Genomic DNA, 18,148 nt, shown 5'->3' with positions numbered 1-18,148 from the left:
CCAAAATTGACCACATAGTTGGAAGTAAAGCACTCCTCAGCAAATGTAAAGAACAGAAATTATAACAAACAGTCTCTCAGACCACAGTGCAATCAAACTAGAACTCAGGATTAAGAAACTCACTCAAAACCACTCAACTACATGGAAACTGAACAACCTTCTCCTGAATGACTACTGGGTGCATAACGAAATGAAGGCAGAAATAAAGATGTTCTTTGAAACCAACGAGAACAAAGACACAACATACCAGAATCTCTGGGACACATTAAAAGCAGTGTGTAGAGGGAAATTTGCAGCACTAAATGCCCACAAGAGAAAGCAGGAAGGATCTAAAATTGACACCCTAACATCACAATTAAAAGAACTAGAGCAGCAAGAGCAAACACATTCAAAAGCTAGCAGAAGGCAAGAAATAACTAAGATCAGAGCAGAACTGAAGGAAATAGAGACACAAAAAACCCTTCAAAAAATCAATGAATCCAGGAGCTGGTTTTTTGAAAAGATCAACAAAATCGATAGACTGCTAGTAAGACTAGTAAAGGAGAAAAGAGAGAAGAATCAGATAGACGCAATAAAAAATAGTAAAGGGGATATCACCACCGATCCCACAGAAATACAAAACTACCATCAGAGAATACTATAAACACCTCTACGCAAATAAACTAGAAAATCTAGAAGAAATGGACAAATTCCTCGACACATACACCCTCCCAAGACTAAACCAGGAAGAAGTTGAATCTCTGAATAGATCAATAACAGGCTCTGAAATTGAGGCAATAATTAATAGCTTACCAACCAAAAAAAGTCCAGGACCAGACGGATTCACAGCCGAATTCTACCAGAGGTACAAGGAGGAGCTGGTACCATTCCTTCTGAAACTATTCCAATCAATAGAAAAAGAGGGAATCCTCCCTAACTCATTTTATGAGTCCAGCAGCATCCTGATACCAAAGCCTGGCAGAGACACAACCAAAAAAGAGAATTTTAGACCAATATCCTTGATGAACATCGATGCAAAAATCCTCAATAAAATACTGGCAAACCGAATCCAGCAGCACATCAAAAAGCTTATCCACCATGGACAAGAAGGCTTCATCCCTGGGATGCAAGGCTGGTTCAACATACGCAAATCAATAAATGTAATCCAGCATATAAACAGAACCAAAGACAAAAACCACATGATTATCTCAATAGATGCAGAAAAGGCCTTTGACAAAATTCAACAGCCCTTCATGCTAAAAACTCTCAATAGATTAGGTATTGATGGGATGTATCTCAAAATAATAAGAGCTATTTATGAAAAACCCACAGCCAATATCATAGTGAATGGGCAAAAACTGGAAGCATTCCCTTTGAAAACTGGCACAAGACAGGGATGCCCTCTCTCACCACTCCTATTCCACATAGTGTTGGAAGTTCTGGCCAGGGCAGTCAAGCAGGAGAAAGAAATAAAGGGTATTCAATTAGGAAAAGAGGAAGTCAAATTGTCCGTGTTTGCAGATGACATGATTGTATATCTAGAAAACCCCATCGTCTCAGCCCCAAATCTCCTTAAGCTGATAAGCAACTTCAGCAAAGTCTCAGGATACAAAATCAATGTGCAAAAATCACAAGCATTCTTATACACCAATAACAGACAAACGGAGAGCCAAATCATGAGTGAACTCCCATTCACAATTGATTCAAAGAGAATAAAATACCTAGGAATCCAACTTACAAGGGACGTGAAGGACCTCTTCAAGGAGAACTACAAACCACTGCTCAATGAAATAAAAGAGGACACAAACAAATGGAAGAACATTCCATGCTCATGGATAGGAAGAATCAATATCGTGAAAATGGCCATACTGCCCAAGATAATTTATAGATTCAGTGCCATCCCCATCAAGCTACCAATGACTTTCTTCACAGAATTGGAAAAAACTACTTTAAAGTTCGTATGGAACCAAAAAAGAGCCCACATTGCCAAGTCAATCCTAAGCCAAAAGAACAAAGCTGGAGGCATCACGCTACCTGACTTCAAACTATACTCCAAGGCTACAGTAACCAAAACAGCATGGTACTGGTACCAAAACAGAGATACAGACCAATGAAACAGAACAGAGCCCTCAGAAATAATACCACACATCTACAACTATCTGATCTTTGACAAACCTGACGAAAACAAGCAATGGGGAAAGGATTCCCTATTTAACAAATGGTGCTGGGAAAACTGGCTAGCCATATGTAGAAAGCTGAAACTGGATCCCTTCCTTACACCTTATACAAAAATCAATTCAAGATGGACTAAAGACTTACATGTTAGACCTAAAACCATAAAAACCCTAGAAGAAAACCTAGGCAATACCATTCAGGACATAGGCATGGGCAAGGACTTCATGTCTAAAACACCAAAAGCAATGGCAACAAAAGCCAAAATTGACAAATGGGATCTAATTTAACTAAAGAGCTTCTGCACAGCAAAAGAAACTATCATCAGAGTGAATAGGCAACCTACAGAATGGGAGAAAATTTTTGCAACCTACTCATCTGACAAAGGGCTAATATCCAGAATCTACAAAGAACTCAAACAAATTTAGAAGAAAAAAACAACCCCATCAACAAGTGTGCGAAGGATATGAACAGACACTTCTCAAAAGAAGACGCTTCTCAAAAGAAGACATTTATGCAGCCAACAGACACATGAAAAAATGCTCATCATCACTGGCCATCAGAGAAATGCAAATCAAAACCGCAATGAGATATCATCTCACACCAGTTAGAATGGCGATCATTGAAAAGTCAGGAAACAACAGGTGCTGGAGAGGATGTGGAGAAATAGAAACACTTTTACACTGTTGGTGGGACTGTAAACTAGTTCAACCATTGTGGAAGACAGTGTGGCGATTCCTCAGGGATCTAGAACTAGAAATACCATTTGACCTAGCCATCCTATTACTGGGTATATACCCAAAGGAATATAAATCATGCTGCTCTAAAGACACATGTACACATGTGTTTACTGCAGCACTACTCACAATAGCAAAGACTTGGAACCAACCCAAGTGTCCAACAGTGATAGACTGGATTAAGAAAATGTGGCACATATACACCATGGAATACTATGCAGCCATAAAAAATGATGAGTTCATGTCCTTTGTAGGGACATGGATGAAGCTGGAAACCATCATTCTCAGCAAACTATTGCAAGGACAAAAAACCAAACACTGCATGTTCTCACTCATAGGTGGGAATTGAACAATGAGAACACTTGGACACAGGAAGGGGAATATCACACACTGGGGCCTGTTGTGGGGTCGGGGGAGGGGGGAGGGATAGCATTAAGAGATATACCTAATGTAAATGACGAGTTAATGGGTGCAGCACACCAGCATGGCACATGTATACATACGTAACTAATCTGCACGTTGTGCACATGTACCCTAGAACTTAAAGTATAATAAAAATATATATATATATAAAATAAAGTTAAGGACAGTGAACCATATATCATACCAGACAAGTTTGCCTTATGACTACTTATATGGAGAGGGCCTCAATAAGGAAAGAAGAGGAAGAAGAATGGTAGGGTGGTAGACTGGCAGAGAAACAGAAAAAGAAGGACATGGTTATGTGGAAGGCTTCACAATGTTGTGGGCATATAGAGAAGTAGAGATACACATCGCATTGAAGAACAGAGCAGAAACAATAAAGAAAAAGAGAGAGCTGAAGAAACAAAGGAAAGGCAGTGAAGGAAACTAGTTTTTTTTTTTTTTTTTTTTTTTTGGACTTCTTTTTTTATTTTTTATTTTTATTATACTCTAAGTTTTAGGGTACATGTGCACATTGTGCAGGTTAGTTACATATGTATACATGTGCCATGCTGGTGCGCTGCACCCACTAACGTGTCATCTAGCATTAGGTATATCTCCCAATGCTATCCCTCCCCCCTCCCCCCTCCCCCGACCCCACCACAGTCCCCAGAGTGTGATATTCCCCTTCCTGTGTCCATGTGATCTCATTGTTCAATTCCCACCTATGAGTGAGAATATGCGGTGTTTGGTTTTTTGTTCTTGCGATAGTTTACTGAGAATGATGGTTTCCAATTTCATCCATGTCCCTACAAAGGACATGAACTCATCATTTTTTATGGCTGCATAGTATTCCATGGTGTATATGTGCCACATTTTCTTAATCCAGTCTATCATTGTTGGACATTTGGGTTGGTTCCAAGTCTTTGCTATTGTGAATAGTGCCGCAATAAACCATAAAAACCCTAGAAGAAAACCTAGGCATTACCATTCAGGACATAGGCGTGGGCAAGGACTTCATGTCCAAAACACCAAAAGCAATGGCAACAAAAGCCAAAATTGACAAATGGGATCTAATTAAACTCAAGAGCTTCTGCACAGCAAAAGAAACTACCATCAGAGTGAACAGGCAACCTACAACATGGGAGGAAACTAGTTTATCCTTTGCCTGTTTCCAAAATGAATTTGAGGTAGCTTTCGACAAAAACAAGTATACAGTAACACCTTTAAAGAGGATAGAATCTGTGTTCTAAAGGATAGAGAGAGAATTGTTCCAGAAAACTGTGACTAATGATAGTGGTCATAAGGGAGCAGAGTAACTTTGAGCTTCTAGCAGACAATGCAAAAAATACAAAATAGTCATATACCTCCTATTGTCTGATAACAGGTATACTATTGCATAAGAATGGGTAGTTTCCTTAGTGTTTGCTGCTGTTTGTCCCTTTGTATCTTTGCTCAGACTCTTCATTCTGCTTTAGTTGTCTGTATTACTTTCTGCCTGGTGATTCTACTCAAGTTTTAATACTTAAGTAATATATGACCTTTCTTTCTCATTCTTTTTCACTTCCTTCTTAGAATTTACCATTCCCTCTTTTATGCTTCCTATTGTATTTTGTCAAAGACCTGTAAAATATTATTGTACTGGTTATCATGTTAATCTCCTTCTGTCAAAACCACATTCATTCACTGAAGTAGTACCTACCTTTTAGTGTTTTTGTGATGATTAAATGAGATAGTTTATGTAAAGCTTTTGGCACATTGTCTGGCTCAATTATTTCCTGCTATTATAGTGGCTATTATAACAACTACAGCAATAGTAAACCTACCTCTTTTGTATCCATACCATTTATTTTTCTTTGCAATTACAATCTAACTTATAAATCTAAAGTTATCCTCCCACCTCTGATCTGGATCTCATTTTACCTATGTGCTCACTGTACTCTCACTCTACTACTCCACTGAAACAGTTCTTAACAAGTTTCTCAATAACGCCCTTGCTGCTAAATAAGTTTAGTGTTTGGTGTTGCTGAACATGCTGTCCTTGTAGAAACTTGGTCATGCTGTAATTTCCATACTCTCCTGGTTTTCTTCCTATTACAAAACAATTACTTGTTTTTTTAAAAAGAATGTATACCATATTCAATAGTGTATAGGCTGGCTCTCTGTTTTCATTCATACCTGATTCTTTCCACAGTTCAAATACATATTAACCCAGTAATTATTTTCTGAATGAATGAACTCAAATTAGAATCATGTCAATTCTCTTTTCATTGTTTCTTTGATTTTGTCTTATAAATATATGTAAAGAAATAGATAGCTAATACTAGTTAACATTAAGTAGATGTCATTTCTTCCTAAATTATTTTGTTACATTATGTAAGTATTAGAGCGCTATTAATGACATCCATACCACGTTTCACAGGTATTCCCTTTTTTCTTTTAGACTGCAAATGAACACTGGACTCCATGCATATTAAATGAAGCAGACAAAATTATATACAAGGTATTATGTTGGAATAAAAATTTTTGTTAGTTTCCTAGGTGCACTTAATTTATTTTCTTGAAGAAACATTGATGGAGCAGAATATGCCATTGGAGTGTGAGTTAAAAGTCTAGGGTCTAGTTTTGGCCCTGCTACTTACTATGTGACCCTCTGTAATCACTTACCAGTTCTGAGATATAGGTTCTTTACCTATCAAGTGAAGATACAGGATACAGTTAATACTTCCCAAATGGTACTTTATTAGATATTGAGATATTTTGAGATGTTGTAGAGAAAATATTCTCTGATCAAGTAAGATTATTGATTAAAGTACTAAGCTATACATAATTAAACAGATACGTTTCATTTTATTTTAAACTATAGAGCTTTAGATATGTTAACAAACACTGTGAATCTCCAAGAGGGCTATTTAGTATGTAGCTTTCCCACCTTGTTGACCATAGACTCCTCTGCTACCACCTGTTTTCAGGAAACAGCTATTCATATCTGCTGGAGGGATCATGTCTTTTTTTTTTCAGCAAAATATTTACAGGGTCTGTTAAATACTAATTTCTGAATAAATATTTGATAATTGAATGAATGAGTTCCTTGGAAATAGTGTTCTTGAAAGTGCAATTTAGCAAATGCTAGACTTAATAAAGTCTGAATAACATGAATATATTTTCCCCTCATTTTTATGTTATTTTCTTTCCTTTAAAAATTCAAAATGGCATTTGGGTAATTTTGGAGTGGTGAACATGAGAATAATCTTTTAATATTGATTCATAATTTCAGTGTGTTGATTGCCTGATCTCTTTCATTTTTCTCTTATAGCTTATACGACTTGATAGTCTTAGCGCCTACTGGAATGTAAATTGCAGCATGTCTTACCAGAGATCAAGGGAACAGATTTTGGTAATATTAATGTATACTTGGAAGAGCTAACTTCACTCCCATCCCTAAATTTGTTTAATATAAGAGGGCCTTCATGAGGACAGGATATCAGCCATTTGTTTAACTTGTATTTCACTAAATCAGAAATATGAAAAACATCCTTTCAAATCCACTATGTGTCTTCACAAAAGCAGTTTTGTTTTTGAAGATGTTTGTGAAATCATTCACTGGGCAGTGATATCAGAGCCCATGGTATTAAATTAAAACTGTATTTATGCTTTTTTACATTCTCATTTTGATGACATTCTTGTCACATTCTGATATTTCATATCAGAATGATTAAGAGTATTATAAAGATAATATTTCTCAGATATAAAGCATGTATCTTTGACACATGTTTTAGACATTTGTGATGATTTTCTGAATAGTAGAAGATTAATTCAAAACTTCAATGTGCTAAACCAGTCTTAGCCATGTTTATTTACTTAGAGATTAAAGAAAGAACAATTCAATTTTTAGAACTGGATAAATTTCAATCTTCTATCTCTGATTTCTCAGAAAGATACTGTAACATATGATTTGCCTGTGACTAGAATGTGTCTGAAATCGCAGTGTATGGATATACATATATGTACATTTTTTCGGAGTCAGAGTGGACATACTACAAGGTTGTTTGTAGACATACAGAATTCTTAAAATTATCTGCTTCTGTATCTTTATACTTATAAATAATGCTCCGTGTATTTTTCTTATTGACTACTAGTAACAGAGAAGCAAAGATATTGATGAAGAACCAAGCTTTGTGTGTGTGTGTGTGTGTGTGTGTGTGTGTGTGTGTCTGAGTCTGAATATGTGTGCATTTTCTTTTTCATTCTCATTCAAATTTTTTGTTTAGGATCAGCTGAAAAATGAAATTCTTACAAGTGGAAATATACCCCCAAATTATCAATACAGTAAGTAATAGTAAAAGTTTATTTCATGTTATAGGAAGAAACATAGAATTAAATACATTATTTTAACATAGTTTTCTGATAAACTTACTTAGTCAAAGTATATTAATTTTATACCTTACTATTATGATACAACATGTTTGGGTTATAACTTATTATTTAGGAATAGATCGTAACACACACCACTGGAGAATAAGAGAGAGAGAAGGGCAGTATAGCTGTAGTTCATTCCCTACAGCCAACTTTCTTTGAATTCCATGTATTCTTCTTAGCTTGCTACTGTATTCTTTGTTTTAGGATTTAGATTTTCTTTCTTTTTTCAAAAAGTAACTAAATCTCTGAGATTCTGGTATTCAGGTCACCCTTATGTTACTATTGCAGTGTTAACATAATCCTGCCACTCTAGAGAATTTTTTTAGTGAGCTTTTCTATTTCTTGGCAGCCTCACCTTTATTTTACAACTGGATCTCTAACAAAGCTTCCTGTTATTTATTTATTTTTTCCATCTGTTTTCTTTATTTCAGTTTCATGGTAATGAAGCTATTGGTTTTTTATTAGTATACCCCTTTATGATTTTTCTCAGCTTTCATACTCACGTTGTTCCGTATTACTCTGGTTCACTGTTGTTTTCTTCGTGTTCTTTTATAACTAATTGACGCTGGATAATAGTTGGCACTTATGTTACATAGATCCCTACATTTTTTGATGATAAAACTTTCAAGTGCTGCTAGTTTGTGAAATCATTTAGGTTCATTAATGGTAATAAATAGTTAAGGAAAATCTACAATTTCATTCTTAGGCATTTTCCATTTATAACTAGCTTTTAAAGCAGTTGAAAATTTTGTACAGTCTTATGCAAATTGTAATTACCATGAGATATCACAGTTTTTATAGTTTGATACTATTCACAGTTAAAATTTATCACCTTGCATTCCCCTATCATCTTCCCTGATACACCTTTTTATATTACTTCTCAACTTGAAGATTATTTTCTTTAGTTGATTCTAAGGTTATATACGTAATGATTATTTTGACAATAATAAAGTGGTGAGCAGTTTCTTTTTTTGGAATGAATTTTATTCATGATTTTGTTACTAAATTCTGCTAGTGATTAAATAAGACAAATTTATCAGATCTTATTTCCTTTTTTGTATTAGTATTTTTAATGAATAATACAATCATTAAATGTCTTGCAACAAGGAAGAGAAGTCTAATTTTATGCAGACTGTGAATAACCAAGAGTAGATTGTCTGTCTCTTTTATACATTTCTTACCTAGAAGCATGGGATTCCAATTTCCTCCTTGGAGATTTCGCTTTAACCATCGAGCTTATTATTATGCATATAAGTAGAAGCTTAAATTGCTTAAATATTTTTTGGTAGTGATTTTGTTACACACATTTTTGATCATTTTTCTTTACTTCTAGAGTAACAGTGTTCTCATAATTATTTACACTTGTTTATATGTAAAAGCATATGAACATATCTTATGTCTTCCCATGTGATGTAAGTTTTCCAGCCAATATCAGCCTCTGCAAAACTCTACATGAATCCTTATGCAGAATCAGAGCTCAAAACGCCCAAACTGGATTGCAACATAGAAATACAAAATATTGCCATTGAACTGACCAAACCTCAGGTATGATTCATGTGGATATTTCCAGCTTTGATTAGCCTTGAATCTTGACTGCTTTTATTTGTGATTATTACTTCTCTAGTGGTTGGTGGTTTTTTGGGGTTTGTTATGTTGAGATTTGACTGTTTAAAAATTTTTGTTTTAAAGAAAATGAATTTCAAATTTAAGTAGTTTTTTAAAATTTTATTTCATCTTTTCCTAAAGTGTGGAGAATCATATCAAACTGCAGGGAATGACATTATTTCCATTTGACTCACAATTGTTGATGGAAGATTTTTTTTTTTTGAGATGGAGTCTCACTCTGTTGCCCAGGCTGGAGTGCAGTGGTGCGATCTCAGGTCACTGCAAGCTCTACCTCCTGGGTTCATGCCATTCTCCTACCTCAGCCTTTAGAGTAGCTGGGACTACAGGCACCTGCCACCACTCCTGGCTATTTTTTTTGTATTTTTTTAGTAGAGATGGCGTTTCACTGTGTTAGCCAGGGTGGTCTCGATCTCCTGACCTCATGATCTGCCCGCCTCGGCCTCCCAGAGTGCTGGGATTACAGGCGTGAGCTACCGCGCCTGGCCTGTTGATGGAAGATTTTAATGTGTTTTTCCCTCCTCAGTTTTTAATGGAAGAGACTCTTATTAAATATTGTTTCTTTAATTTTTAGAACAGCTATGTTGGCAGCTTTTTCCTCTATTTGTTTCCCAAGCATGGTTATATGCCCAGAGAGTTGGGGTGACAGGCTTGGTGAACTGGAAGTGAAAGGAGGACAGGAGATTTAGCTAATTTAGCTTTTTTGTACAATTCTGTTAAATAAAAATGTAATGCAAGTTGTAATTTTAGATTTTCTAGTAGCTGTGTTAACAATGTAAAAAGAAAAAGGTGAAATTAACTTTCATAATACATTTTATTTAACTTAATATTTCCAAAATATTAATCATATCAACATATAATAAATGTAAAAAGTTATAATGAGACATTTCACATCACTTAAAATACATTTAAGTTCAGACTAGACACATTTCAAGTGATAAACAGCCGCATGGTAGGTAACCTTTAGTTAGAACTGCATTCCGTGAAAAATTAGAGAGGAGGAAGCTAGACTTGCCCCCTTTTTTTTTTTTAATCTTCTCTGCTTTCATGTTACCTCTGGGTTTATGTTTCCCTCCATTTGAACTGTTTTGTCAGATCTACACAGAGTTGCTGTGTTGATGGTAAGATGGCTGCTTAAATAGCTTTATGTTGCTTTGGTTATGCAATAATTTTTTGCAGTAATTTCAAAATCAGCTCATAGACAGCTACTGCTGAAATGATGATCCAGAGGAAAAATATATAGTCTTAGAAACAGGCATATTTTATATCATAGTTTACAGATACCATATTTCATTGTTTCTAAGATGTTCATTTAGTTTGCATTTTAACATTTGAAAATAGGATGTGTATATATATTGGTGATAAGACAATTTAATTAACAGCAGTTTTCTTTTGTAGTAGAACCTAAAATTATATTACAACTTAAAATTGATAGTGTCTTAAATTTGATGAACTGTAGTATACTTGTAATTGATAGCATCTTAAATTTGATGAAATACAGTATATTATTGGACTACCAGGCAACATTGTTCAGGGTATTTGGAGTCTCACTAGCCTAAAAAATAGAATTAAATTTAGTCTTTTTTTTATATATACAGTGTAATAAATATAATTTTATTTTTGTTTTAACAGTACTTAAGTATGATTGACCTTTTGGAGTCAGTGGATTATATGGTTAGGAATGCGCCTTATAGGAAATACAAGCCTTATTTACCACTTCATACCAATGGTCGACGATGGTAAGTTAGAATTTGTTTTTTGTTTTGTGAGGAACATATAATCATATATTTAGTTACTCTCAGAGTTAAGCAACCTTTAAAAGCCAAGTAATTCAGCCACTTTAAAAAAAGAGACAAGAGTATTAAAAGACAAATGGTAAATATATTGATTACTTATAAAAACAGCTTTCACTTCTTTTGTATGTCCATATTACTTTTTTCATATGAACATCCACTTGTATTTCTGCTCCTAGGTTCCCAAATTCTTTTTTTTTTTGAGATAGAATCTTGCTGTGTCCCCATGCTGGAGTGCAGTGATGTGATCTTGGCTCACTGCAACTTGTGCCTCCCTGGTTCAAGCGATTCTCCTGCTTCAGCCTCCCAAGTAGCTGGGGGTACGGGGTGTGCAACCACGCCCAGCTAATTTTTGTATTTTTATTTTTTTGAGACAGAGTCTTGCTCTGTCACCCAGGCTGGGGTGCGGTGACGCGATCTTGGCTCATTGCAACCTCCACCTCCTGGGTTCAAGCAACTCCCTGCCTCAGCCTCCCAAGTAGCTGAGATTACAGGCACCCACCACCACGCCTGGCTAATTTTTGTATTTTTAGTAGAGACAGGCTTTCAGCATCTCGACATCTTGAACTCCTGACCTTGTGATCTACTCTCCTCGGCCTCCCAAAGTGCTGGGATTACAGGCGTGAGCCACCGTGCCTGGCCTAATTTTTGTATTTTTAGTACAGATGGGGTTTCACCATGTTGGCCAGGATGGTCTCAAAATCTTGACCTCGTGATCTGCCCGCCTTGGCCTCTCAAAGTGCTGGGATTACAGACGTGAGCACCCTGCCGGTTCCCAAATTCTTAACTTAACATTCAAGACATTCAACATTTTTATAAAAGTTTTATCGCTTATCAGTCATCCACATAGACTCAGTGTTATAACCATACTGGAATGCTATTTCCCACATGTCGTTTTGTGCCTTTTGGATTTTGCTTTGGCAAAGTCTGTTCCTTAAGGGTTTTCTTATATCTAAGTCTATTTAAGTCAGACAATTTTACTGGGAATTGCTGAGCTCTTATAGGAAGACAGTTAAGAAGAACAAAAAATTTGACAGCATAAGATCTAAAATGTCAAGACTTTTCCTGTTTTCTCTTAAACCTTTATATTAACATTTACGTTAACAAAATTTGATTTTCAGGTGGAAATATGCAATTGATTCTGTTCTTGAAGTTCATATAAGAAGGTATACACAGATGTGGTCATGGAGTAACATAAAAAAGCACAGGCAGTTACTCAAGAGTTATAAAATTGCCTACAAAAACAAGTTAACACAGTCTAAAGTCTCAGAAGAAATACAGAAAGAAATTCAGGTATATCTTGCATATATTAGTGAGAGCTATTATTTGTCTAATCATCCTTTAATATTCTTCTGCATGTAATTTGAATCAAAAAATAATTTTAGGAAGAACAGAATTCACCTCTTTTTGAGAGAGAATTATGTGGGAAAATGCAGAATTTTTTTTTTCCAGTTTTTCTTCTTTAAAAAAACTTTTTTTCCCCCTGCAAATATCAGATAAAATAAGGTTACTGTAAACAATTTGGGGAAAGGTGACTGGTTTTTATAATAATGTTTAGGAAGTCAGTATCAGAGCTGTTTAAATATGTGTTTATTAGATAGATATATCTTGTTTTGTTAGTAAACATCCTGTATTTATACGGTAGTGGCTTTTCAAAATACTTCAAAATATTATTTATAAAAAACAGCTTTTACTAAGAAGACATTTATGCAGCCAAAAAACACATGAAAAAATGCTCATCATCACTGGCCATCAGAGAAATGCAAATCAAAACCACAATGAGATACCATCTCACACCAGTTAGAATGGCGACCATTAAAAAGTCAGGAAACAACAGGTGCTGGAGAGGATGTGGAGAAATAGGAACACTTTTACACTGTTGGTGGGATTGTAAACTAGTTCAACCATTGTGGAAGTCAGTGTGGCGATTCCTCAGGGATCCAGAACTAGAAATACCATTTGACCCAGCCATCCCGTTACTGGGTATGTACCCAAAGGATTATAAATCACGCTGCTATAAAGACACATGCACACATATGTTTATTGCGGCACTATTCACAATAGCAAAGACTTGGAACCAATCCAAATGTCCAACAACGATAGACTGGATTAAGAAAATGTGGCACATATACACCATGGAATACTATGCAGCCATAAAAAATGATGAGTTCATGTCCCTTGTAGGGACATGGATGAAACTGGAAACCATCATTCTCAGCAAACTATCGCAAGGACAAAAAACCAAACACCGCATATTCTCACTCATAGGTGGGAATTGAACAATGAGAACACATGGACACAGGAAGGGGAACATCACACACCGGGGACTGTTGTGGGGTGCGGGGAGAGGGGAGGGATAGCATTAGCAGATATACCTAATGCTAAATGATGAGTTAATGGGTGCAGCACACCAACATGGCACATGTATACATATGTAACAAACCTGCACAATGTGCGCATGTACCCTAGAACTTAAAGTATAATAATAATAAAAAAAAAATAAGAATTTCTTTAAAAAAAAACAAAAACAAAAAAACAGCTTTTACTTCTCGGGAAAGAAGAGGTCTTATGTACTCCCTTTTAAAAGGTAGAAACACGGCCGGGCGTGGTGGCTCACACCTATAATCCCAGCACTTTGGGAGGCTGAGGCGGGCGGATCACCTGAGGTCTGGAATTGGAGACCAGCCTGGCCAACGTGATGAAACCCCGTCTCTACTAAAAATACAAAAAATTAGCTGGGCGTGGTGGTGGGCACCCGTAATCCCAGTTACTCGGGAGGCTGAGGCAGGAGAATTGTTTGAACCTGGGAGCTGGAGGTTGCAGTGAGCCCAGATCCTGCCATTGCATTCCAGCCTGGCAACAAGAGCGAAACTCCCTCTCAAGAAAAAAATAAAATAAAATAAAAAATAAAAAAAATAAGCACTAAACATGGAAAGGAACAACCGGTACCAGCCGCTGCAAAATCATGCCAAAATGTAAAGACCATCGAGACTAGGAAGAAACTGCATCAACTAACGAGCAAAATCACCAGCTAACATCGTAATGACAGGATCAAATTCACACATAACAATATTAACTTTAAATGTAAATGGACTAAATGCTCCAATTAAAAGACACAGACTGGCAAATTGGATAAAGAGTCAAGACCCATCAGTGTGCTGTATTCAGGAAACCCATCTCACGTGCAGAGACAAAAATAGGCTCAAAATAAAAGGATGGAGGAAGATCTACCAAGCAAATGGAAAACAAAAAAAGGCAGGGGTTGCAATCCTAGTCTCTGATAAAACAGACTTTAAACCAACAAAGATCAAAAGAGACAAGGCCATTACTTAATGGTAAAGGGATCAATTCAACAAGAAGAGCTAACTCTCCTAAATATATATGCACCCAATACAGGAGCACCCAGATTCATAAAGCAAGTCCTGAGTGACCTACATAGAGACTTAGAGTCCCACACATTAATGATGGGAGACTTTAACACCCCACTGTCAACATTAGACAGATCAACGAGACAGAAAGTCAACAAGGATACCCAGGAATTGAACTCAGCTCTGCACCAAGCGGACCTAATAGACATCTACAGAACTCTCCACCCCAAATCAACAGAATATACATTTTTTTCAGCACCACACCACACCTATTCCAAAATTGACCATATACTTGGAAGTAAAGCTCTCCTCAGCAAATGTAAAAGAACAGAAATTATAGCAAACTATCTCTCAGATCACAGGGCAATCAAACTAGAACTCAGTATTAAGAATCTCACTCAAAACCGCTCAACTACATGGAAACTGAACAACCTGCTCCTGAATGACTACTGGGTACATAACGAAATGAAGGCAGAAATAAAGATGTTCTTTGAAACCAACGAGAACAAAGACACAACATACCAGAATCTCTGGGACACATTCAAAGCAGTGTGTAGAGGGAAATTTATAGCACCAAATGCCCACAAGAGAAAGCAGGAAAGATCCAAAACTGACACCCTAACATCACAATTAAAAGAACTAGAAAAGCAAGAGCAAACACATTCAAAAGCTAGCAGAAGGCAAGAAATAACTAAAATCAGAGCAGAACTGAAGGAAATAGAGACACAAAAAATCCTTCAAAAAATTAATGAATCCAGGAGCTGGTTTTTTGAAAGGATCAACAAAATTGATAGACTGCTAGCAAGACTAATAAAGAAGAAAAAAGAGAAGAATCAAATAGATGCAATAAATATTGATAAAGGGGATATCACCACCGATCCCACAGAAATACAAACTACCATCAGAGAATACTACAAACACCTCTATGCAAATAAACTAGAAAATCTAGAAGAAATGGATAAATTCCTCGACACATACACTCTCCCAAGACTAAACCAGGAAGAAGTTGAATCTCTGAATAGACCAATAACAGGATCTGAAATTGTGGCAATAATCAATAGTTTACCAACCAAAAAGAGTCCAGGACCAGATGGATTCACAGCCGAATTCTACCAGAGGTACAAGGAGGAGCTGGTACCATTCCTTCTGAAACTATTCCAATCAATAGAAAAAGAGGGAATCCTCCCTAACTCATTTTATGAGTCCAGCATCATCCTGATACCAAAGCCTGGCAGAGACACAACCAAAAAAGAGAATTTTAGACCAATATCCTTGATGAACATCGATGCAAAAATCCTCAATAAAATACTGGCAAACCGAATCCAGCAGCACATCAAAAAGCTTATCCACCATGATCAAGTGGGCTTCATCCCTGGGATGCAAGGCTGGTTCAACATACGCAAATCAATAAATGTAATCCAGCATATAAACAGAACCAAAGACAAAAACCACATGATTATCTCAATAGATGCAGAAAAGGCCTTTGACAAAATTCAACAGCCCTTCATGCTAAAAACTCTCAATAGATTAGGTATTGATGGGATGTATCTCAAAATAATAAGAGCTATTTATGAAAAACCCACAGCCAATATCATAGTGAATGGGCAAAAACTGGAAGCATTCCCTTTGAAAACTGGCACAAGACAGGGATGCCCTCTCTCACCACTCCTATTCCACATAGTGTTGGAAGTTCTGGCCAGGGCAATTAGGCAGGAGAAGGAACTAAAGGGTATTCAATTAGGAAAAGAGGAAGTCAAATTGTCCCTGTTTGCAGACGACATGATTGTATATCTAGAAAACCCCATCGTCTCAGCCCAAAATCTCCTTAAGCTGATAAGCAACTTCAGCAAAGTCTCAGGATACAAAATCAATGTGCAAAAATCACAAGCATTCTTATACACCAATAATAGACAAACGGAGAGCCAAATCATGAGTGAATTCCCATTCACAATTGATTCAAAGAGAATAAAATACCTAGGAATCCAACTTACAAAGGACGTGAAGGACCTCTTCAAGGAGAACTACAAACCACTGCTCAATGAAATAAAAGAGGACACAAACAAATGGAAGAACATTCCATGCTCATGGATAGGAAGAATCAATATCATGAAAATGGCCATACTGCCCAAGGTAATTTACAGATTCAATGCCATCCCATCAAGCTACCAATGCCTTTCTTCACAGAATTGGAAAAAACTACTTTAAAGTTCATATGGAACCAAAAAAGAGCCCGCATTGCCAAGTCAATCCTGAGCCAAAAGAACAAAGCTGGAGGCATCACACTACCTGACTTCAAACTATACTCCAAGGCTACAGTAACCAAAACAGCATGGTACTGGTACCAAAATAGAGATATAGATCAATGGAACAGAACAGAGCCCTCAGAAATAACGCCTCGTATCTACAACTATCTGATCTTTGACAAACCTGACAAAAACAAGCAATGGGGAAAGGATTCCCTATTTAATAAATGGTGCTGGGAAAACTGTCTAGCCATATGTAGAAAGCTGAAACTGGATCCCTTCCTTACACCTTATACAAAAATCAATTCAAGATGGATTAAAGACTTAAACGTTAGACCTAAAACCATAAAAACCCTAGAAGAAAACCTAGACATTACCATTCAGGACATAGGCATGGACAAGGACTTCATGTCTAAAACACCAAAAGCAATGGCAACAAAAGCCAAAATAGACAAGTGGGATCTAATTAAACTAAAGCGCTTCTGCACAGCAAAAGAAACTACCATCAGAGTGAACAGGCAACCTACAAAATGGGAGAAAATTTTCGCAACCTACTCATCTAACAAAGGACTAATATCCAGAATCTATAATGAACTCAAACAAATTTACAAGAAAAAAACAAACAACCCCATCAAAAAGTGGGCAAAGGACATGAACAGACAGTTTTCAAAAGAAGACATTTATGCTGCCAAAAAACACATGAAAAAATGCTCACCATCACTGGCCATCAGAGAAATGCAAATCAAAACCACAATGAGATACCATCTCACACCAGTTAGAATGGCGATCATTAAAACGTCAGGAAACAACAGGTGCTGGAGAGGATGTGGAGAAATAGGAACACCTTTACACTGTTGGTGGGACTGTAAACTAGTTCAACCATTGTGGAAGTCAGCGTGGGGATTCCTCAGGGAACTAGAACTAGAAATACCATTTGACCCAGCCATCTCATTACTGGGTATATACCCAAAGGACTATAAATCATGCTGCTATAAAGACACATGCACACATATGTTTATTGCGGCATTATTCACAATAGCAAAGACTCGGAACCAACCCAAATGTCCAACAATGATAGACTAGATTAAGAAAATGTGGCACATATACACCATGGAATACTATGCAGTCATAAAAAATGATGAGTTCATGTCCTTTGTAGGGACATGGATGAAATTGGAAATCATCATTCTCAGTAAACTATCGCAAGAACAAAAAACCAAACACCGCATATTCTCACTCATGGGTGGGAACTGAACAATGAGAACACATGGACACAGGAAGGGGAACATCACACTCTGGGGACTGTTGTGGGTTGTGGGGAGGGGGAGGGATAGCATTGGGAGATATACCTAATGCTAGATGACAAGTTAGTGGGTGCAGCGCACCAGCATGGCACATGTATACATATGTAA

The 18,148-nt window shown here is 36.6% G+C and overlaps 1 protein-coding gene across 9 annotated transcripts in view; it reads left to right on the top strand.

Annotated features, from left to right (window-relative positions):
- VPS13C (vacuolar protein sorting 13 homolog C) overlaps positions 1 to 18,148 on the top strand; it is a 208,059-nt gene that overhangs the window by 40,722 nt on the left and 149,189 nt on the right. For all 9 annotated transcript variants that reach the window (XR_007064464.1, NM_017684.5, NM_020821.3 and 6 more), the window contains 6 exons: positions 5,734 to 5,793; positions 6,607 to 6,687; positions 7,562 to 7,619; positions 9,127 to 9,254; positions 10,965 to 11,071; positions 12,247 to 12,418. Coding sequence is in view for 8 of the 9 variants with exons in the window: in NM_017684.5 (NP_060154.3) it covers positions 5,734 to 5,793; positions 6,607 to 6,687; positions 7,562 to 7,619; positions 9,127 to 9,254; positions 10,965 to 11,071; positions 12,247 to 12,418 (606 nt within the window). In the remaining variant the exon portion in view is untranslated. The remainder of the gene's footprint in view (positions 1 to 5,733; positions 5,794 to 6,606; positions 6,688 to 7,561; positions 7,620 to 9,126; positions 9,255 to 10,964; positions 11,072 to 12,246; positions 12,419 to 18,148) is intronic.

This window comes from Homo sapiens, chromosome 15, assembly GCF_000001405.40.
Source record: "Homo sapiens chromosome 15, GRCh38.p14 Primary Assembly".
In the NCBI taxonomy this organism is placed as follows: Eukaryota; Metazoa; Chordata; class Mammalia; order Primates; family Hominidae; genus Homo; species Homo sapiens.
The sequence above is the reverse complement of the archived record's forward strand: the minus strand, read 5'-3'. Positions and strand labels throughout refer to the sequence as shown.